Source organism: Homo sapiens, chromosome 7 (assembly GCF_000001405.40).
Source record: "Homo sapiens chromosome 7, GRCh38.p14 Primary Assembly".
Taxonomy (NCBI): Eukaryota; Metazoa; Chordata; class Mammalia; order Primates; family Hominidae; genus Homo; species Homo sapiens.
The window spans coordinates 50952799-50976480 of record NC_000007.14 but is presented as its reverse complement, the minus strand read 5'-3'; the positions used below and the strand labels follow the sequence as shown (position 1 = coordinate 50976480).

Sequence of the window (23682 nt, the reverse complement as noted above, 5' to 3'; positions counted from 1 at the left end):
ATGAGAAGATAAAAAAAGTTCTGGAGATGGATGGTGGTAATAATCGTACAACAAGATGAATGTATTTAATTCCACTGCACCATACACTTATAGTTAAAACAGTAAATTGTACGTTATGTTTATTTTACCATAATTTTTAAAAATAAAAAAAGTCTTTCATGATGTATTTAATGAACTGGCAATCTGTGTCCGGCTGGATTTCAGAATTGCTGTGGGCCAGTGACAGTGTGTGTTTTCCTCCCCCATAACCCGCAGTGGAACAGGACTCTTAATTGCAGTCCATTAGTCTCCTAGGCTGCTGTAACAAATTACCACACACATGGTGGCTTAAAACAATGGAAATTCATTTTCTCACAGTTTGGGAGACCAGAAGTATAAAATCAATGTGTTGGGAGGGATGGACTCTCTCTGAAGGTGCTAGAAGAGAACCCTTCTTTGTCTCTTCTGTCTTCTTGTGGCACCATATGTTCCTTGGCTTAGAGATGGATGACGTTAATCTCTACCTCCCTCATTATATGGCCTTCTTCTCTGGGTCTCTGGATCCCAAATCTTCCTCTTTCTTCCTCTTATAAGGATACTTATAATTGGATTTAGGAACATCCCTAAATCCAGGATGATCTCATCTCAAGATCTTTAACTTACATCTGCAAAGACTTTTTTTTCCAAGTAAGATTGTATTCACAGATTCCCGGGTTAGGACTTGGACATATCTTTTTTGGCAGAGTGTGTTGGAGGGCGGTGACCATTTGACCCACTACAAGGAGTTATCCTACACCTGTCCCACAATTACATGTTGGTTAAATGGGATTCAGATGACCTGTGTCTTTAGATTTCCTGGGGCATCAGACCAGAAAGGACAGCACTCAAGGTATTTCATGCAAGGTGCCTCCAACAAACCTGAACCTAACTTAGATGATGAGCTTTTGGACCTTGAAGCTGGGCCTGTTGCTGTAATGGAACAAGACATTGAGGAGCTTTTGGAAAGGGTAGGTGTATTTTTCATATGGTTGGAGTATAAATAATTTTTAGTCAGAGGGCACAGAAGGCCAGAAGGCAGTTTGAAAACATGTCTGCTTAAGGTTATGATCCTCCAACATAAAGAGGTAGGACCTACATCCTCTCCCCTTGAACCTCGGTGGGTTTGTGGTTGATCCATCAAATAGAATAGGGTGGATGTGCCGTGTGACTTCAGAGGCTAAGACATAAAGAACTTTAAAGCTACCACCCAATTTTGGGGGACCTTCTCTCTGAGGAAAGTCAGCCACCACATGAGAAGTTCAACCATGGCAACAGCATCCCACTGAAGAGGTAACATGCAGGGGCCATGGACAGCCGTCCCTGCTGACTTCTGAGCTAACAGAGATCAAAAACCGTGAGCCATGGCAGACATCCCCGCCAGTCAGGCCTTCAGAAGCCAGCATCCACAGCCAACATTGGGCTGCAAGAGCCTGAGAGGCTCCAAGAAAAAAACTTACGGACAGAGATGTTCATTACAGTGTGATTTAGAGATGTAAAATTGTAGAAATTGCCTAACCATCCAACAACAAAGAAACAACTATGAAACTGAAGTACCTCACTTTAATGCTTAGTCTGTAGCCATTAACAATTCTCATTGTGAAGACATGGAAAATTTTTCCATGATAAAACTACTATGCAAAATATAAACACAGTAGAATCCACTTGTTTATATAGCACAAATGCATTGTAGTTCATCATTTCAGAATAAAATCTGAAAAATAATACACTAAAATGTTCCAAGGTTAACTACCAGAGATGGAAATCTTGGTTATTTTTTCCTGACTAAAATCCTGTATTTCTTTAACTTCTCAGCATTCACAGCAAGATCACCTTAATGTGAGATGCTGCAATGAATCATTAGACACACTTCACATTTTCAATCTATTGTGTAAATAAGTATTGTGTCCCTATTTGCAGAGGAAAGAGTACAGTGGTTTCTCCCACTTCCTCTGCCACCACTTTTGTCCAAACCATCATCAGAACGCAGAGAACTGTCATGGTCCCCACCCAATCTTCCTGTTTCCATTCCCTGCCATACTCCACCCACATCAACCTGCTGTCCACGCAGCAACTGAGAGATCACCACAGTTCCCTGCTTACAATCTCTCAACAGTTTCCCCTTGACGCTAGGATAAGGAAGAATATACTAGAAACACTTTGCTGTGGTTCTGCCCACTAGGCACCTCGCCTGGCCCCTCACCTCATCTCATACCTCTCCTTCCGGATTGCAGGACCTCACCCCACTGCCCTACATGGCTGCCCTCCAGTTCCTGCCCTCCCTGGGGTGCAACTTTCCTGCTCCTCGACTGAGTGTCCTCCATGTAATCCTGCTGACATGGTTTACACATGACTCCAACCAGAGTGCCTTCCCCTCCCAGGCTCAGCCCCAGTGGATGGCAGTGCTCCCCACCGTGCCATCCTACCCTCAGTGCTCAACCCCTGCGCCTCAGCACCTGGCAGGTGGCCCGGTCCTTGCAGATCCTAATTGGATGTGTCTTGAATGAACAAGTACGTAGAGAGCTGCAGGCGGGAGCAAGACCTGGGCAGTGGGTCCCAAAGCTTTCTGCTAGAGAAATCTCTCAGGCATCCCACTGCAACCCACTGTACTCCTTACATAGGGACAAGAGGCCACCTCTCAACTAAAATGCAGGACCTCACCATGGAAAACTGGCCTGATGAGAAAAACCAGGTTCATGAATGTGTGCATGCAAGCTTTGTTCTCGGTAGGAAATGACTGCGTAGTTGACAACTCTGAGAGATTCCCAAAGTACTTTTGACTGTGCTGTTCCAACGGAATCTAGCAGTGTTTTTGAATGTTTGATAGAGCCACAGAGGGACGGGTGAGGCTGGACACATTGAGACAACAGCAAACCTCAAGTCGTCTCATAAACTTGACAGTTGTGCACAGGTAGTGATAAAAAGGAAACAAGGTCTGTGTTGACAGTATAGACTTTAGCAATTGTCTTCACACAACCTTGTTCTCATTGTGAATTTGATTGGTAGAGCGAAGACTAGTAACTTGTATGTGTTCCTGGACAAATCCAACTAAAATAGTTCACTTGAGCACCAAGTTTTTTACTGCTGAGCAAAGCTCAGTTATTTTTCTGTAAAGAAAAATGTGACTGCCCTCTCCATAAGGCACTCACCTATCCTAGCTGCAATGTAAGCCTCTTGGCCATCATCATTAGGGAGCAGGCCTGTTATTAAACCAATCTCCATGGCCCCTTGCTATTGTCCAGCTTGGTTGCTTACTTTCTCTGCAAACTGGTATCAAACTAGAAATAACTGTGGAACAATGCTGATATTTCACTTCTATCTTATTTCCTGCTGTGACTATTTAGTTTGTTGTTAAATGTCTCCCTGTCTGGATGGGGTCTGGGGGCACAGACAAGAGGGAAGGGGAATGAGGACTTAGAAATTCATCCTGAACTCTTGTTAGCTGCAGCAGTGGCATGAGTTAAGCAGCCTGAAACTCTATTCGATGTGTTTTAGGAGTGAGCAAATGAATGAACGTGTTGGATTGATAAGAGCCAGGGTTCTCACTGTGTAAGAAGAAACACACGAATTTGAAATGGGGAGAGGCAAGAAAGGTCCCAGCCTGTGGAATGGAATCAGAGGCTCTAGCTCTGTCCACATAAAGGTCAAGAGTATGGAGCACACTTAGGGCTCAAGTTTAGTCTCTTAGGGGGCCAGGGCTACTTGGGGAAATGGCGGCCTCCAGATTGGAGAAAAGCAGCTGGGTATGGAACAGCTTGTTATGCCGGAAAGTAAGGAGGCGCTCGCTCTTCTTCACTTCCTTAGGTGAAACATGCCACAAAGATGCGTGAGCGCCTGGGTCACTGATTTGATTATGAAAACAATCAGGTGAAGTAATGAATTATAAAACATTGGGGAAATGAGAATGCAGAGGAATACAATAATAGACAGATTGATTAAGTACTGTTGAGGGCCAGAGGTAAGGGTTAAGAGATGCATAATTTCAATCTATGTCAAGGAAACATCAGATGAAGCCAAAATGAGGAATATCCTATTAAAAAGGGAAGGAAATGTTGGGATCTGTGTTCTTCAAGAATGTCAAAGTTAATCCCAGCTATTGGGAGGCTGAGGCGGCAGGATCATTTTAGCCCAAGAGACTGAGGTTGCAGTGAGCCATGAGTACACCACTGCACTCCAGCCTGGGCTATAGAGCAAGACCCCATCTCAAAAAAATTATTTTAAAATTTCAAAATTACAGAAGAGGAGGGAAGATTAGAAATGTCCTGGATTAAGCAAGGCTAAAGAGACATGACAAGGAAAAAATGTAATCCCTGCCCTTAGACTCTACTGGAGAGGAAAACGTTCAAGCAGACATTGCTGGGTTAAGTGGCATAGAAACGGTGGATAACAGTTTTGTCTCAGTTTAAACACATGGACGTTGGCACTGTGGCCAGGTAGGAGAGCCCCCTGCTCCTAGGAGCACACACTGAAGTATTTAGGACCACAATGTGTGTAACTTACAAAATAAACAGAGAGAGAGTAGACAATAAAGCAAAGAGAAAAATATAATAGCAGGTACATTGATTATTTACATTACATTTATGACATTATACATGATATTATTTACATCATGCATATTACATTTGTATTATAAATGTCAGAGTAGAAATCCAGGCAAAGATATCCAAGTATTCTTTATGCTACTTTTATTTTTGAAAATGTTTTATAATTCTTAAATTAAGTATTTTATTTCCTCTCTTGTCTTCCTAAACTCATTCCCCTTTGACGATTGAGGTAGAGTTTCTGCCACACAGCATCACACAAACTGCCCACAATTGTCATGGCGAGTGATTAGAAATAGAAGACAGAGCATTTTGCTCGCCCACGTGAAGGGCCCCAGCCAGGGCACCCTCTGGACTTGTGTGACTGGGAGAAAACCCTGATTCTGAAGAATATCTGTGGCCTTCCACCCACGCTCACCTTGGCTGAACCTTGTTCAAGAAAAAAAATCAATACTTTCATCGATGCTAAGACATGAATAGCTGAAGAAAACTCATTGGATTACTCCATCCAGACATCTACACTTCATGGGGATGTTTTGAGGCAAAGATATTTTATCTCCAAGGATTTCATGTCCAATGGATGACCCTTTGGGGTTTGCTCAAGTCCTACCATGGAGGTGACACATGCCAGTCCCCTCAGCCTGGGGATGGAGAAGCAGCCACCTGCGCCTGTCCGTGAACTCAGCTTCCTCTTGGGTCTGTTTGCCCTTGACTTTATGCCCCTCACTCCTGCTGCAAATACCCTCTGGAAAAGCTTTGTTTCTCCCATCAACAAAATCCCTTCATTAAATTAGGAGTAGATGCTTTGGTCATATTAGACCAGCTCCCGCCAACTACAAGGCCCTTCTACAGTAATAACCTTTATTTTTTATTTTATTTTATTTTATTTTATTTTGTTTTTGAGACAGGGTCTCACTCTCTCGCCTAGACTGGAGTGCAGTGGCATCATCTCAGCTCACTGCAACCTTCGTCTCCCACGCTCAAGCGATTCTACTGCCTCAGCCTCCCGAGTAGTTGGGAATATAGATGACTGCCACTACCACTCAGCTAATTTGTGTATTTTTAGTAGAGACAGGGTTTCACCATGTTGGCCAGGCTGGTCTCAAACTCCTGACTTCAAATGATACACCTGCCTTGGCCTCCCAAAGTGCTGGGATTACAGGTGTGATCTACTGCACCAGGCCTTATTTTTATATAATTAAAATATATACATGCTCATTAGGGAAAACAGAAAATACAAAATATATACAGAAAAAAAAATCCCTCATGATCCTGTGATTAGGGATAATCTGTTATAAATCTGGGGCTTTCTCCTTTTACTCTTTTTTCCTATGCATGAAGGAAGGGGGAAGAATGATACTTGCTATTTAAAGTTTCCAGTGGCTTCTGAAGGGCACATTGAATTAAATCACAGCATTCCTTCCCAGTCCTCTGTGCGGCTAAGAACCTGGAAAGGTGGTGGGTTCCCAAAGGCAGACTGGAACTTGGCTTTCCAAGAAGCTGCTCAAGAGCAGGCGGTGCATGTGAGCTGGTGAGAGAATCTTAGTGGGAGGGAGGGAGGAGCAGGAAGCAAGAGGAGAGGAGTGAGGCGGAGCCTGAGAAGAGGTACAAGCTCAAGCTGCTTCTTTGGAGCAGGTGACAGCTAAACGTTGCCTGGTCAGGCGCCTTGGAGCAGCAGGCTCCAGTGCAGGCGGCAAGCCCAGCTAGAATTCCTTCCTTGGCGCCTTGCCCTGCCCACCTGACACCCCACATCAGCCAATTCTCTGTTCCTGAAGCCTGAACTTGCCTCCTCACAGGAAGCCACTGCCCTGACCACTGTCACCTGTGCCCTTTCCCAAGCTTAGAGGATCACACCAGCGTGTACCCACTTCCAGGGACAGAACCCAAAGGGGGAAACCACGGAGTCACCTGTGCAGGACCCAAATCTCCTGGGAGAAGAAGACTTTTCCCATTTGGCCCCAAACAATACTCTCCCTGGCCCCATCCCCAAACTTTCCCCCACCCTGCCATCTCCTTGTCCCAGCTCCTTCACTAGCCAGTCCTAAGGTATCTCAGGGCCCCGTTCCCCCTAGGGAGGAAAACACAGGGAGGCCACGAGTACAGGAGAAAATAAGAAGTGAATCAAGTGACTGCAAATTTCAATAAGTGCCTGGGATGAAACGTGAGGGCATGATGGGAGATGAAAAATGTTCATCGGGTGGTCAGGGAAGAAAGTCCTTTGAGGAGGTGACATTAAGCGGAGAACAAGACAACCATGAGAAGACTGGGGAAGCAGAAGAAGGTTTGGAGGTGGGGAGAGCTCTGTGTGTTCTAGAACTGACCAACACCTTAATGTCACCTCCTCAAAGGACTTTCTTCCCTGACCACCCGATGAACATTTCTCATCTCCAGGATACCATCCTCTTGTTGGGAGAAAATTCCCTGGTTAGTTTTACCTCAGGTTCCAATGGGATCACAGTTCTAAAAGTGTGGAGAGACCCTTCTTAGTTGCGAGACCATGAACCCAAAGCGCAAAATCCCGAAGTTTTGTTGTAGTGTGGATGGCAAGGACAGTCTTTCTTCAATGTTCTCAGAAGATCCAAACCTAAAAACCTTCTTTTTTACGTGCTGAAAATACAATGTAGCTTAATAATCTACTGTTATAACATCAGCCCTCTTGCATGGGAAAGCTTTTATACAACCAGAAAACATGCAATGAAAATAACAATTGAATTAAATCCCTTCATAAAATGTTTAAATGGCCAACCAGGTGATTAAATGTACCTGAAGCTTGTTTTCCCAGGAATATGGGATCGAGCATTGGCCATAAACTATTTTAAACAATTTCAGCATTAGCTGGTTTAACATGAAAGTATTTTCTTGATACTTAATTAACTTTTTGGTCTTACTTGGGTTAGTAGCTTTATGCAAGGAAATTTGGTTATTTCTGTGGTTTATAATAACTTAGCATAATAACTATAATTGTGATTGGTAGCATATATTTAGACAGTAGATTTTTAGAAATCTCATACAGTTTTGGAATATATATTAGTATTATTCACAAAAATATAACCTAAAGAAGATTGAACATCATTTTGGCAATCCCATATACCTAAACACATTAAATAATCCTGTTGACCTCTTTTCTGGATGTTTTCAGGGGCTCTCTGATCCATCCAGAAACCCAGGCATTAGGAAAGACAATTTTGAAACTGAAGTTTGATCTTGGAATTTCAGATTACCATAAATTATTTATTTTGCCAAAATGATGACTCAAATTTTAAAGAAGCAAAAACCTTTTATAACCTTTAATGAAAAAAAAAACACACTCTACTGCTTTTACACACCTTGCATGTAAAATTGTTTCTAATAGTCTTGATTGCATGTTACAATGGCGACTCTTAGCAATTTCAATTTTAATATAAAACCTGGTAAGTTATGTTCTGATAAGGTTTGACTGTTTCCAGCATAGCTAGGGGTGTGGCCAACTCCACTTGTCCCCAGGCCTTACCTAGCTGGAAAGCAGGCAAGTTAAACAATTTTCAAAAGCCAAAGAAGCAGCTTATGACCTTAAAGCATATAGCGAACCTAATATTTGAACATAATTTAAACCACATGTTTACATTTTTAAGACAATTGTATTTTGCCAATAATCTTTAAAACTGTCTTTATTTGTCAAAGATTGCTGAAGTCATGTGAACTAAAAGGCATTATACTTTCTACATTTCTGACAAAATATTTGATTTAAGCTCTTATTATTATTAAACCAATTAATTTAAAACTTTACAGAGGGGATAAACAGTGACTTTTTCTTTATATTTAACCAGTTTGCACAGAGAGAAAGAGGCCAGGGACTGACTGGTAAGAAATTCTTACCCTTTTGCCAGCATGCCAGATTTCTGGGTTCTCTCTCCCTGAGTGGCCCTGGCAGCCATGCTTGACTGTATGCAAACAAACGCATTGCCATGAATTAAGAGTATTCACAAATAGTTTACAAATTTTGGAGAAATTAGGCAGAGAGAGAAATATGACTCAAATTCTAGTTGTGAGAGTATACTAAACACAAAGTATCAGGAAGGCTAAAATCCAAAAAATTAGTTTAAGGAAAAAAAAGCTGGTGTGCCCCATTAATTCCTGCAGGCCCAACAAAAGTAGCTTAGGAATTCTAGAAAAATGGAATGAATCATGACTTGCTAGAAATGCATAGGAACACAGAACTAAATGAAAGCATTCCACCAGGAACTAAAAAAAAAAAAAATCATAGTTTTATACATACGCATACACAAGCAAAGCCAGAGGAGAAATAAACAACAAACGAATGAAAACTAGAAGCAAAAACAAATAAGCACCAAACCAACCCTGAGTTTTCCTACTCAATTTACCCTGGAGTATACAGCATTACCTAGGGCCCCAGAAAACCAACATAATGAATATTTTATTCCTGATACACAATTCAACATCCCCAAGTTCATCATACATCCTGTGCAATCAAGAAATCCACTTTAGGCACATGAGCAATAAGTACTCCAGCACTATCCATGCAAAACAGTCAACATAGTGTGAAGCAATGCAAGCATATATGTAAAATTTGGCTTTACACTAAATCCAGCTTCATGCTTAACTGTATTAAAAAACAATTGCCAAACTACTGATGCATTTTTACAATACTTCTTATTTTAATCAAGACTAAGAGCTTTAACTATGAAAATGTTAATTAGCCAAATGTTTCCAATTCTTTATCAGGTTTTAAAGTATATTTTATTATTTAAACTTTTTCCACATCTTTCTCCCCTACTTAATGATTCCTTACTACACTGTTTCATAAATAACCTTTCCAAATCTGCAATTTGAACTAACTTTTAGATAACTTCTGAATTCAACAAAATTACTTTTTTTCCCCACTAATAACATAACCCTTTCTGTTATGTTATCAACATAACAGAAATTACGTCTTAATAATAACCACAGAATTACATCTTAACTAGAATTTTATCCTTAGTAACCTAAAACTTTAGTGAAACCCTAAAAGGCAAGAAATCCTGAACTATTAGATATGAGCATTTATATATAAGAACAATTCCATAATTTCAGAAACATATTTCTACATATTACAACCCTTTCTTAATTGGAAATGACCTAGATATTAAATGAGTGTTAAAAATAACTTTAAGATTTTAATTTACACAAAAAGTTTACCTAAAACATTTATCCCATTCACTGTACTTAAATTTTTACTTTTAAGGAGATACATGAGACATCAATTAACATATGTAAAATGAGCATTGGTTTTGTCCGGGACAACTCAAAGTGAGGAGGGGACTTGGGGGCTTTCAGATCATAAACAGTTGCATTCTTTGGAGTTTCTGATGAGCCTTTCCAAAGGAAGTGACCAGATATGCATTTATCTCAGTGAGACTTTGAATAGAATGGGAGGCAGGCTCACCCCAAGCAGCTCCCAGCTTGAATTAACATTGACATTTTAAAATATCTAGCAAAGACAAACATAAAATTCAGACAAAACGTATGCTGACAATTCTGAAGGCATTTCTATTTTTATTCCACCAATAATCTTAAAGCTAGTTTGTTTAGTAAAGTAATACTTTAAGTCACGTGAACTTGAAAATGGCTTAGACTTAACCAAAATTTCGGGTAAAGCAGTCTCCAAGGCAGTTTGATTTTTAAAGGCCAAACCTCCCCAGACTCCAGTGGGCACTGGGCCAAACTGTACCAAAGGAGGGCATCACACGTTAACCAGGCCCCCTGCTTAGAACTGCAGCACAGAAGCCTGGGTACATGCAATGCCATTCCACTTTCCATTCAACGGTAAACTCCAGATTCCAAACAATGTTAGGGCCAAACAGCATTGCAACTATGAGAGAAAATTCTGAGGAGGGTTAAAACTAGACCTCAGAACCTCTGCCGAGAGTGTCCTCTTTGGAGTGGCTGGGATCCACAGAACCCACACAGCATCCTCCTGTGGGGTCCAATCTTAGAGTTCCAGATGTCTCTGGCCTCAGGTGGGTGCCACATGCAGGTTTTCCTCTCCAGAGCCTACTATGAGCTTTATAGGAATAGCCATGAACTGTAATGAGAAGGACTGGATGCCGGGTGGGCCTTTTTGTTCCTCAGCCAGTTGAATATGATAAGTAAAGAATTTAGCATAAGAAAAGTTTATGTCCCCTGAAACACATGTGAGTTTGCCCTGAGCTGTGGTGCATGTAGGGATCAGGGACCACACTTGGAAAAGATAAAAAAACTTTTTAATGATTGCCATTCTAACTGGTGTGAGATGGTATCTCATTGTGGTTTTGATTTGCATTTCTCTGATGGCCAGTGATGGTGAGCATTTTTTCATGTGTTTTTTGGCTGCATAAATGTCTTCTTTTGAGAAGCGTCTGTTCATGTCCTTCGCCCACTTTTTGATAGGGTTGTTTGTTTTTTTCTTGTAAATTTGTTTGAGTTCATTGTAGATTCTGGATATTAGCCCTTTGTCAGATGAGTAGGTTGCAAAAATTTTCTCCCATTTTGTAGGTTGCCTGTTCACTCTGATGGTAGTTTCTTTTGCTGTGCAGAAGCTCTTTAGTTTAATTAGATCCTATTTGTCAATTTTGGCTTTTGTTGCCATTACTTTTGGTGTTTTAGACATGAAGTCCTTGCCCATGCCTATACTATGCAGCCATAAAAAATGATGAGCTCTTGTCCTTTGTAGGGACATGGATGAAATTGGAAATCATCATTCTCAGTAAACTATCGCAAGAACAAAAAACCAAAACCACATATTCTCACTCATAGGTGGGAATTGAACAATGAGAACACATGGACACAGGAAGGGGAACATCACACTCTGGGGACTGTTGTGCGGTGGGGGGAGGGGGAAGGGATAGCTTTAGGAGATATACCTAATGCTAAATGACGAGTTAATGGGTGCAGCACACCAGCATGGCACATGTATACAGATGTAACTAACCCGCACATTGTGCACATGTACCCTAAAACTTAAAGTATAATAATAATAAAATAAAAATAAAGAAAGAAAGAAAGAAAGAAATAACAAAAAAAGAAAAGATAAAAAAACAACTCCTTCCCACTTGGGGCAGGGCAATTATACCCATTCATTCTTAGGCCTTCAGGCAGTACTAGGGAGTGACCCCAGCCGATTGCCCTCAATTTCCAAGGAGCCAGTAGGCAACAGCCTCTGAAAGACTGAAAAAGAAAGTGGGATGGGAGTGGGGGGCGGGAAGGTGGAAATGAAAAAGACCAAGGTTCCTTAAGCTAATGAAGAGGTGGCGGTCAGCCTTCTCCACATGGAAACCCCTTAGTTTCACTGGCCATGGCCAGAAACCTGCAGTTGCTTCCATGTTTACCTGCTTCCCACCAAGGGTCCCAAGTTGGAAAGGAAAAGAGAGAGGGAGAGAGAGAGAGAGAGCCCCTGAATGGAGCAGAAAGGAAAGGGAGAAAAATGAATCCCAAACTTTGGGCTTATCTCTTCCTTCTGGCTGGCTCGCCAAAATATGTTAATGGTGGAAGGTGTCTAGGCTCTTGACGTCCTCAACAAAGAGTTGGACAAAATGCACAAAGCAAGGAGGGAAGGGTTTTATTGAAAATGAAAGCACACTCCACAATGTGGGAGCGGGCCTGAGCATAGGGGATCAAAGGCCCTGTTACAGAGGTTTTTTGAGTTTAAATATCCACTAGAGGATTACATTGGTGACTTGGTGTACACCCCATGTAAAGGGAGAGGATGAAATAAAGTTACAAAGTCATTTATAGTGTATGCCCTATGGAGAGGATATTTCCTGTTATAGCTCAAGTGTGAACTAGCCTCATATTCTCTGCCTCCAGACCCTATTTTCCTGCCTCGTTAGGACAGCTATGTTATTGTGGCTAGGCCAGAAGTTCCTGCTCATCCCTCACTGTGGTGTAAATGCTACAACATCCTTCCCACTTCACAGATGAGCAAAGGCAGTCTCAGAGACATTGAGAGACATGCCTGGGTTCACACTGTAAAGTTTTTGCAACGCAATAGCTTAAACATTAAAAATATTGATTTAACACGTTACCATTTTTTATGTCAGCAATAAGGGAGATTTGCATAAAGGAGTCAGATGTTCCTTGTACTAGTTTTCTGTTTGTAATTTTTGTAGCTTTGACATTATCTCCAAATTAAAGTTTACAGAAAAAGTGATCATGTTTTGACTCCCACTAAAGCCAGCCCTCGGGCTCCATGCTTTTCATGCATTGTCTGCAATTCTCCTATGGCTTGCACGTGGACATCAGTCCACTCCACAGATGGGGAAACTGAGGCTTGGTGTAGGTGGGCAACCTGCCACAGGTCCTGATGGAACTGGTTAGGCGTCTGCACCCAGGTGCCTGTGCCTCCCAAGCCCATATTCTTTCCATCCCCTTGAGTGGCCTCTGTAGTCAGTCTTCAAAGACCTGTCCTTTAGGGTTTAAATAAAGTGTTCACAATTTGGGACTCAGTTGTCCTGTGTCCCCAGATTTGGAAACCTCTCCCTGTTTGGTGCCTTCCACCCTTCAGAAGTCAGCTCAGCCTCTCTCTTCAGAAACAAGATCTGAAGTCCTCATTATCCAGCAAAGATGAGGAGGAGGAGGAGGAGGAGGAGGAGGGGGAGGGCCAAGAGGAGGTCTCAGTGGCTTCACTGATGACAAAGAGGCAGCTGGAGGCTCCCTGAAGAGACCAAAGCCCAGGAGCAAAGGCTGGAAACCTTCCAGAAGCGGAACCAGAGCCAACAATAGAGGAGCAGCAATTAAAACTCCACTGGCCTGGGCCCAAGGGGCGGCACCTCCCAGTGCCTTGTGCCTGCCTGGGGAGGTCCTGCCTGCGGAGATGACTCAGCACAGCCCAGGGGCAGGCCTGCAGCGACCTGTGGGGCAAAACCCAGAGCAGAGGTGGGGCCATTCAGCACCACTTTCCCACCCAGCTGAGAGCTGGCAGACCACACCAGGCACCACCACCAGGCTTCCTGCAGGGCAATGCAGGCACCAAGAGAAGAACCCCAGCGGTGGACACATCTCACTCATTTTAAAGCTCTAAACAGAAGTCGTTGTTTAATCTCCCATTGAAGTTGGATTATCTCTGCTTCTGCTAATAAAAGCTGTCATTTATGGAGCACTTACACCAGCAACATTTTATCAAAGGGAATATGATGTTCCTCATGTTGAAGGTGAGGCTCGGGTCATTTAAATAATTTTCTCAAATCATGTGGCTAAGAGGAACAGAAACTATTGCTTACACAAAAATCTCCTTTATACCAAATCTCATGCTTTTGACCAGTGGTCAGACTGCTGGTGTTGGTCTTCACATGTGCTGCAGCCTACATGGTCGGGCGTCCAGCCCTCCCATGGGTCGAGTCCTCATTCTAATCTATCCCTTAGGGGCTGTGCACTCATCTGGCCACTCTGGTCCTCTTGAAAGGCTTTGCTGGTTGACTCACACTCCGCGGGTTTCCTCCTGAACGGCACACATTTTGGCGGCTCCCCTCCCCTCCTCACCCTCTGGGTGCTGGATGCCCAGGGCTCCCTCCCAGCCTTCCTTCCATCCCGGCCCTCACTCCCTGCCTTGGTGTTCTGGCTCACTTGTACCCATAGCTCTATGGACCCTCTCCCCCAGCCTCTCAGCCTCCCTCTCCAGTCTGGACTCAAGATTGGAATCTCTGCCAGGACATCTTGTAACATCTCAGACCTCTTTTTTTTTTTTTTTTTTTTGAGAGTCTCACTCTGTTGTGTAGGCTGGAGTGCGGTGGCATGATCTCAACTCACTGCAACCTCTGCCTCCCAGGTTCAAGAGATTCTCCTGTCTCAGTCTCCTGAGTAGCTGGGACTACAGGTGTGCACCACCACACCCAGCTAATTTATTTATTTATGTTTTGTATTTTTAGTAGAGATGGGGTTTCACCACATTGGCCAGGCTGGTCTTGAACTTCTGGCTTCAAGTGTTCTCCACCTGCCTCAGCCTCCCAAAGTGCTGGGATTACAGGCGTGAGCTGCCACACCCAGCCTCTGACCTCTTATACTATCTCAGACCTCATGTGCCCAGGCCAGAAGTCTCCACTTTCTCCCCCACACCTGTTTTTATGCCAGTATTTCCCATTGCAGTTAACAGCGTCAACTTTACTCAGATGCCCAAGCCCCAACCTAGGACACACCCTTAATTTCTACTTTTTCTTCACCTGCCTCCTCCAGCCAGGGAACCAGAAAGCTGTTGGGCCTCTGTCTTCCAAACATACCCCAACTCTATCCACTTATCCCACGGGTTTTCCACCACCTGGTCAGGCTCCAGCCGTGCAGCCAGGACCCCTTGCCTCAGTTTCCCACCTGGACCCCCTTGTCGCCTATGAGCCTTTCTCTATAGGGCACTGGCATGTGGCTCTGTGAAATGCGCTCCCCGGTCCTCCCCTCCCATGGTTTCCACCCTCTGAGGAACATCCAGACGCTTACGTTTACCCCAGGACCCTGACGAGTCTGCCTCCTCCTCCTGCCCTGAGCCATATCCTTCCCAATCTCCCAGGGCGCCTTCTGCTGCTGCCTTTGTTGCCTTCCTGGAAACTTTGAAATATTTCTCAAGCTGGGATCCCTGGATGAGCAGCATCAGCATCCCCTGGGACCTTGCTAGAAATGCAAATTCTCGGATCTCAACCCAGACCTACTGCCTCAGAAGTTCTGGGGATGTGCCTGGCAACGCGCATTTAACAATGTTAAGTAGACTCAATTGTGTCCTCCAAAATTCATACGTTGAAGCCCTAAGCCCAGTGTGACTGTGTTGGAGATAGGCCTTTAAAGAGGTAATTAAGGTTAAATGATGTCATTAGGGCGGGTCCTAATCTGGTAGCACCTGTGTCCTTTTAAAGAGAGGAGGACACAGACACACACGGCGGAAAGTCCATGTAAGGACGCAGGGAGAAGACGGCTGTCTGCAAGCCAAGGAGAGAGGCCTCAGGAGAAACCCCCTTGCCCACACCTTGATCTTGGACTTCCAGCCTCCAGGACCATGAGAGAATGCATTCCTGTTGTTTCAGCCCACCAGTCTGTGTCTTTGTCACAGTGGCCTGAACAGGCTAAGATGGGGTGGGTCTGGGAAGCTCCGCCCTAGCATGCCAAGCTGGGTCCTGCCTGGGCATCTTCACCGGAGCTTTGCCTCTGCTGGACGCAGCTGCTTCCACTCTCCTACAGCTGGCTTCTTCACTGCAGAGAGGCCTGCAATGGGATGTTGTTCTCTTGAAGGACCCCTCCCTGATGTCTAAGGACAGTGGCCCTGCCACAGCCCTGCTCAGTCCCCCACCTTCCCCTGCTTTCCAGCGATCGCCCTGTGTCCCCTCCAGCAGACAGTCTATCACTATGAATCCTCTTGCTTCTTTGTGGCTGTTTGCCCTGTGTATCCTGCACACTATGACATGAAATACTTAAAAGCAGGATTCTCATTTCTTGTTCAACATTTAATTTCCAGCACCAAAGATAGTTCCTTCAATAGACAGTAAGTGCTCGATAGTTGGTGAATGGAAAGGAAACCTCCCTCTTGATATAACAGAGATGGGAAAGGTCAGGGAGGCCTGGGAGTACATTTTGAATGGCTTCTAGCCTTGGATGCCCAGATACCACACATACATTCAAGGACCCAACCTACAAGGGCAGGTACATGAACTCTGAAGCTGGACTCCTGGAATCCAGATCTGGGCTCAGCCACTGACCAGTCTCATGTTATGTGACCTCAGTTATGTGACCTCAACTCTCTAATAATAGGAAATGGTTCTATTGCTGTTACCATGATGATGATGATTGAAGCACAGAAAGAAAAGCCAAATGCCATGAATTCTTGTTCCTCTGAATGTCTGAGCAAGTGAGGATCAGAGGAGGACTGTGGAGGGAACCACTCCTTTAATAAAAATTCTGTGGCCCTTCCTCTGAAAGCCACTCCAGACCCCACCGAGTCCTGGCTGTCACGCTGCACAGCACAGGGGCCAGCATCCACACTGCACCTGTGTGGCCCTCCTTGGGCGTACAGACCACCTACCAGACCCCCAACTTGCAGCACTGAGTCCCAGGACCATGGAGACTGGGAGCCTCTTCTGCATGCAAGGACGGGCTTAGTGTTGATGAGCCTGGGGAAACATCTTTGCTGTCAAGTCTTCCATTTCTGCAGAAGGGATTCAGCCATGAAAACTTGACAGGAAAATCATGACTTCCAAATTACATATGCAAATTCCTTTCCTTTCTAGATGTTGATGTCTCTCCAAATCTCTCGCGGTTCATGCATTGGATACCTTGCCTGACCCAGCAGGCTGCAGGATGAGGAGCACAGTGAGGAGCTGGGGTCTCACTCCCACAGGTGGGCCCCAGAAGCACAGAGCAGGGGCAGGAGCAGACTGGATGATGGATGGCACAGGGTCCCTCCGGGATCAGAGGTTTCTTTTTGGCCTGGCAGCAGAGGTGGTTATCCCAAGACTAGCTCATGTCTTGTTGTGGCACCCACTTCTACATTCTGGAGAATTCAAGGTGAGAATACACATGTAGTGAGAATATGTGAATTACTGATTTTTTAACTTCTATGAACTTTTTGGCTCCAGGCTGCTTACTGACTGCTTTATATTGCTGTAATCTTTAGTATTTCTGGCTGGATTTTGTCATTTTAAAATATGAGATGATAAACCACTACAATTGATTTTGGTTTTGATTAAATTTGGAGTAATATGGTCCTATCAGTGAGGATTAAATTTGGACTGTAGGCTGGCATAAAACTCAGCCAACTGCTATTTGTGGGAGAGTAACAAAAAGTATTTCTCCCCTTAGTAAGAGACTTCTATGGCTAAAGCATCGCCTACATACTCTTGTTCATCCCACACCTGACCACCCCCTGAAAATACATCTTCTTAGCTAAATATGGCCTCCTGGATGAACTGTTTATGGACAGGCTCACTGATGGATGCATGGATGGATGGATGGGTGGATGGAGATTTTAGAGGATAATTCTATTAGGGGATAAATTCACACATGAGCTGCAAAAGTCAGATAAGATTCAAAGTGTTCTGAGTTCTTGTGAAGTGAGACTTTTCCCACTAAAAGTGCATTTGAAGAATGAGCAGAATTTGCAGAGCAACAATTTATACTCTGGATGCCCTATGTATAATGAGACGAAAGGAAACAATGTCTGTTCCCAACAGGATAGAGTTCCAGTGAAAAGACATTCTACTTTCTATTCAAAGACATGTTTTAAGGCTCCAAATGGGTGAATCCACATTGCATATACCTGGATGGTTTCTGATATGTTAGGTTTATGTCTGTAAGAAGCTAGTATCGGCTGACAGAGGAAGCACTGTCTGGAAGACGTCCTTGCAGAAAGGGGTGTCCTATGACCTAGGACTCTTTTTCTGAGTTTCAGAGAAAAAAAAATTTTTCCCCTAAGCTTTGCTGAATATTATGTCTTTTTAAGATTTTTTTTTAGTCTAAAAGCTTAGATTAGTAAGTACTATATGGCAGAAATTCTGCTAAACACTTTCCCTGAAATGTGAGTACAACAAGTAATTCCCATTTTACAGATGAGGAGAGGAAGATTTAAGGAACATTCCAATGTAGATCTAATTCCAAAACTTGTGCTCTTAACAGCAAGCTCTACAGAATGTATCACTTTTTCCTGCCTTAATTGTGGCAGCCCCAGTTATTTATACTAACCCTACTGCTCATAGCAATAAAAAAACCTGGTGAAATATGTGTGAATCCTCTTAGAAGCAAGAAAGAGCTAGTTGATAGGTAGAACTGCCAAACCTGAAGAGCAGCCTGAAGGCATTTCCTGCATAGGGATTCGAACATTTGTTTTGGAAGGTCTCATGGAACACAGGTACAGACATCAAAGTCCAAGGCTCACACCAGGTAAAAAGTCCAACAGATTTCCCGCAATGAGCCAGGACCTCAGGGCTTGGCTCTGAGGGTGGGGGTGAACAAGAAGAGGGCCAGGCCTTCAGGAAATATAGTCTCTCTCAAAATAAAAAATGCAAAACCAAATTTAAAACTCCGTGGATAGGTGTGACAGAAGATTAGACACAGCTAAAGACAGAATTTATGATCTGGTGAGGAAGAGATTGTATAGACACGATCTCTATACATTTCATACACAAACGAGTTGGGGGGAAGAGGGGGGGGTGGAGAGAGAGAGAGAAAGAGAGAGAGAGAGAGACTGGGATGAGTAAAAAGAAATTGCATACATCTACTCAGAGTCCCAGCAGGAAAGGAGAGGAAATGAGGCTGAACAAATATTTAAAGAGGTAATGGCTGAGACGTTTCCTGAGCCACTGAAAGGCATTGTCTTAGCCCGGTAGGGCTGCCATAACAAATTATCACAAGCTTGGTGGCTTAAAACAACAGAAATGTCTTATCTCACATTTCTGGGGGCTGAAGTCCACACTCGAGGGGCCAGCAGGTCTGCACTCCTCTGAAGGCTCTAGGGAAGAACCCTTCCGGGCCTCTTCCAGCTTCTGATGGCTCCTGGTAATTCCTTTTCTTTTCGGTTCCTTCTCAGATCTGAGTCTTTCCTCCTACATTTTACTTTAAGCACCAAGGAGAAACCAGGACATGACTTCAACACTTTGCTTGGAAATCTCCTAAGTCCATGTTCATCAGCAACAAGCTTTACTTTCCATAAAAAGTTGAGGGCTCACCGAAAGATGATCTCATCTTAATTAATTACAGCTGCAAAGACCCTGTTTTCAAATAAGGTCATGAACTCTGAAGTTCCAGGCGGACTCGTATTTTGGTGGGGGAACACCATTCTACCCAGCATAGACATTAATCCACCCATTTCAGAAGCCTAGTGCATCCCTAGAAGGAAAATTAAGGAAGTCCACACCTAGAAAAATCACAGTGCAACTGCACAAGGCCAAAGATAGAGTGTCTCAGAAGCCGTAAGAGAAAGAGGTCAGAAGTCATCAAGTGAAGTGTGAAGTTTTTGCAGACATGTCAAGCATGATTGAAAATACCCAATTATAGAATGTACCAAGTTTTTCACTGCTTGAGGTGAAAAAAATGCTTTGAGGTTGGGAGAGCAGAAAGGAGGGTGGCTCTGACCCTGTGAATCCTCAGACAAATTGGAAGTCCTTTGTCTCCTTATTTGTAAAGTACAGCATTGGGCAAAATCGTCTCACATTACCTAAAGCTAAAAGCCCTACCATCACTCCTAGAATGACTGTTGTGCAACTTCACTTTTGGCAGGTGCGATAGGGATGAGGAGTGTGGCGTACTGTTCCCTCTCACGCGACAAGAGGACATGCTGAAATGTGCATGGTCAAGGTTTAAAAATACTAAGAAAGACAGTCTCACAAGGTGCACCTGTGTGTGCCCTTGTGTTGTCTTCATGTAAGTCGGGGCGTGTACTCTTTCATGGGTTCCAGACTCCTTGACTATAGTGACCCTTTGTTGGTATTTTCTCTCTCTGGCTTCTGATCTCCTCTGATCTTCCTCCAGAGGGAGGTTTGCTACCTCCTGTGGTATTGGACACAGTAGTATTTCATACATTGAAAGCTAGGGCAGAGGAGTGTTTCCGCCTTCTCCATCACCCACTTCCAGGGCACGGACGCCTGCCCCAGGTCAGCTGGATGGACACCTCCCGACCTGCCACCCCACAGGGCTCCGAAGCCAGAACAGCGGGAGGAGGGGCATCTCGCAGCAATGGGAGCAGCCTCCTACCTCTGTTCTGCCTGCTGCTCCACCCCCAGCACCCCTGTAGCCCCCAGCAGTACACCCTTCCCCTCCCTCTGCGTCCTGTCTTGTAGTACAAGATAGATGGCTGCTCCTGCTCTCAGACCCCAGGACAATTTCCATTCCCACCTTCTCTCTGAGACTGGCTCTCCCATGAGTGTCCTCACACCCACTCCTTTTCTGCCCTGAGGTTTGCCACTACATCCTGCAACCAGGAATCTCACCAAGATGGCACTTCTGCAAGGTCAGACCTGGTGCCTGGCAGCGAGGCCCCACCGGAAGGGCAGTTGCCATACAAAGGGACCCTTCTGGGAAAAAACTCTCTTTAGCCTGCTGATGTAGTTTGAATATATGTCCCCACCAAATCTCATATCAAAATGTAACACCGAGTGTCAGAGATGGGGCCTGGCCAGAGATGTTTGGCTCATAGGGGTGGACCCCCCATTGCTTTGTGCTGTCCTCATGGTAGTGAGTCCTCAGGAGATCTGGTTAAGTGTGTGGCATCTCCCCACTCGCTCTCTCTCTCTTGCTCCTGCTCTGCCATGTGAGGTGCCTGCTCCCCCTTCACCTTCTGCCGTGAGTAAATTCTCCCTGAGGCCTCCCCAGAAGCTGAGCAGATGTCCCTGCTGTGCTTTCTGTACAGCCTGCAGAATCATCAGCCAATGAAGCCTCTTATCTTTATAAATTACCTAGACTCAGGTATTTCTTTCTTTCTTTTTTTTTTTGAGATGGAGTTTCACTCCTGTCACCCAGGCCAGAGTGCAATGGTGCGATCTCGGCTCACTGCAAACTTCGCCTCCCAGGTTCAAGCGATTCTCTTGCCTCAGCCTCCTGAGTAGCTGGGATTACAGATGCCCGCCAACATGCCCAGCTAATTTTTGTATTTTTAGTAGAGATGGGGTTTCATCAAGTTGGCCAGTTTGGTCTCGAACTCCTGACCTCAGGTGATCCGCCCGCCTCAGCCTCTCAAAGTGCTGGGATTACGTGAACTATAATTGAGGTATATACACCACATACAAACACCACTAGTTAGATCTTCTTGCTGCTCCCCTTTTCCTACTGAAAATCGTTCTTCTGCAACACTTTGCAGCGCTCACTGTTCCAGCCTCAGCCCTGCCCTCTTGCATGGGCCTCACAGGGCTGGGCAGAGGAACCTGGGATCAGGGATCCCCCTGGACTCGATGCAGATGTCTGCCCATCGGGTGCACTGAGAGAGCCTGGAACAAGCTGGTTCATCTGCCCGGCCTTCTTAGCAAGTTGTTCAGGCACTTGTGACATAGGCAGAAGCAGAGTCATAGAAGTTCCTGTTTCCCCTGGAGCTGGGCATGAGTCCCAATGGGGCCATTTGGTCTTCCTGTTGCATCCTTGTCCTGTCCCTGGGCCAGACTTCCTCCTCCTGTGACCATTGGACAGATCCTCACAGAGAAGCTTCGGGGGCAGTCTTATTCTCAGAATTGGGGATTTGCTGCTATCGAATACCTCCAGCCATGCAAATACTAATACTTGTATGATCACCAATACTAACAGTAGAGCTCACTCACACGCAGGCACGGGCTAAGGGTAAAAATTAGACTCAGCTCTATCACTGTTAACTCTCCCAATAACCCTGTGCAATAGGCACTATTAGTACAGTTTGCATTCTGTAAATGAGGAAAGGGAGACTCAGAAAGGTCAGGCAACATCCCCTAGGTTGCCCCAGCCAGTGCGTGGGGAGCTCCAAGTGCCTGCCTCCGAGGCCTGGGTCTTTACTGCTCAAGCATGGCTCCCACACAGCCTCCCTTCTCCCCTGAAGCCACCTGTGGCATTCACCAGATGGGTATGAACCAACCATCAGTACTCACAGGAGGTGCTGCAGACGTTTTAAGACTGAAACGTGTTTTCTATTGCACCTGTTTCTTTCCATTAAGAAAGGAAAAAATCAGTTTTCTACCTAATCTCAAACTACAAATCACTAAGACACTGGTCAAAGGGAATGGCCCAGATATACACCTTTAGCCCCAACATAAAACTCACTAGAAAAGTGTAAGGGAGAATTTACTTAATCATTCAGGAGTTGCCGTCTACATTGCAGAGCCAGGAAAAGTGAAATAAGGCACAGTGACTGGGCCCTAATTTCACTGCCTGACCCAGCCTGGTGAGTAAGAAAGGCCTGAGGGGGTTAGACTGACCTTTGTCTGTCCTGTAGCTCCATCAGTCTCACTCACAATAGGGGCAGAGACCAGTCCCTCAAGCCACTGAAACCAGCTTCCTGACCTACGTGAGTCACCCCTCTCTCTCTGGGTGCTCATTCAGTCTAGCTTTGCAGCACACAAAGGAAGCTGAGGAAAAGACTCAGGAAGTCTTCATAGCACTTTCAGCCAAGCTCTTTCCCACATCTGTGCCATCGATTAGGGGACTGGAGGACAATAATGTAGGTTTATTCCTGATTTTTAAAAGATCATTGAGTTCAATACTCAATTCTTTCCTCCAGCCCTTAAAGGAGCTGGGGTGTCCCCCTTGTTTATTGGCCTCCAAAGCACTCCAAGTGTCTTAGGAGCATGCATGGCAGGACAGAGACATATGCATGGAGCACTTCTCTCCCTCCACAGTGGAGCCCCCCACAGGTTGCAATGACCTGTGGCCATTGGTTGGCCGTGGCTGTTCTGCCATTTGCTAATCTGCCTAAACTCGCTCTTGTACTTTTCTTTTAAAGTTTTCCCTCGTGCCCTGCACCATTCTTCTCCACTGATGCAATAATTTACTGGAACGTCATGAACTAAGTGTTCCAAAAGAATTACCCAAGTGTCTGTCTGCTTTGGAAAACATTTTATTTATGTTATCTGTGTAAGGCAAGTGACAAAACTCTCCCACGCTCTGGGAGTCCAGACTGCCCCAGGTGGTGTGGAGAGACAGAGTCCGGCCAAGAAGTGCTTGGCAGAGGCAGGTGGAGAAGGACAAACCCCTGTCCATGTTACCAGCACAGGAGCCTGGGAAAAGGGAATCAGTACAAACTATGGTCATCTCAAGGTTTTCCTTCAGGCCCAAGGATGTAATCTCAAATTACTCCCCACTGCGAAAGTTTTGTTCTCATGTGTGCCTTGACTTTCCCAGTGCTTTGTGGAGCACAAAATAGCATGGAGAAATGTCTTTCTCAGTGCAACATGGAGCCCTGTGGCAAGCTTAAAATATCATTTCCCTCTGGGCACCACAGAGTCTCTTTTTCAAAGAAGAATTCAACCACCAGTCTGCCTTCCAGTTTGCAAAATTATTTTTTCACATGTTGCCAAGAAAGGACGCATTGCCAAGCAAGCTTGGTGGTAATTAAAATGTGATGGCACCTCTCACAGAGAAGTCCTCAAATCCTTCCCATAGAACTGTGCATGGACCAGCCCTGCTCCCCCCGGGCAGGTACCTGCTTCCACATCTACACTGCCAATGCCGGCACCCACAGCCAACTCTCAGTTTC

The 23682-nt window shown here is 44.7% G+C and overlaps 1 annotated feature.

Moving 5' to 3' along the window:
• Positions 12848-13363: an enhancer, noted in NCBI's record as "H3K4me1 hESC enhancer chr7:51030815-51031330 (GRCh37/hg19 assembly coordinates)". NCBI's record gives its function as "activates a minimal SCP1, AML or CMV promoter by ChIP-STARR-seq in naive and primed H9 embryonic stem cells {active_cell/tissue: H9 hESC(naive and primed)}" and the evidence as "EXISTENCE:reporter gene assay evidence [ECO:0000049][PMID:30033119]".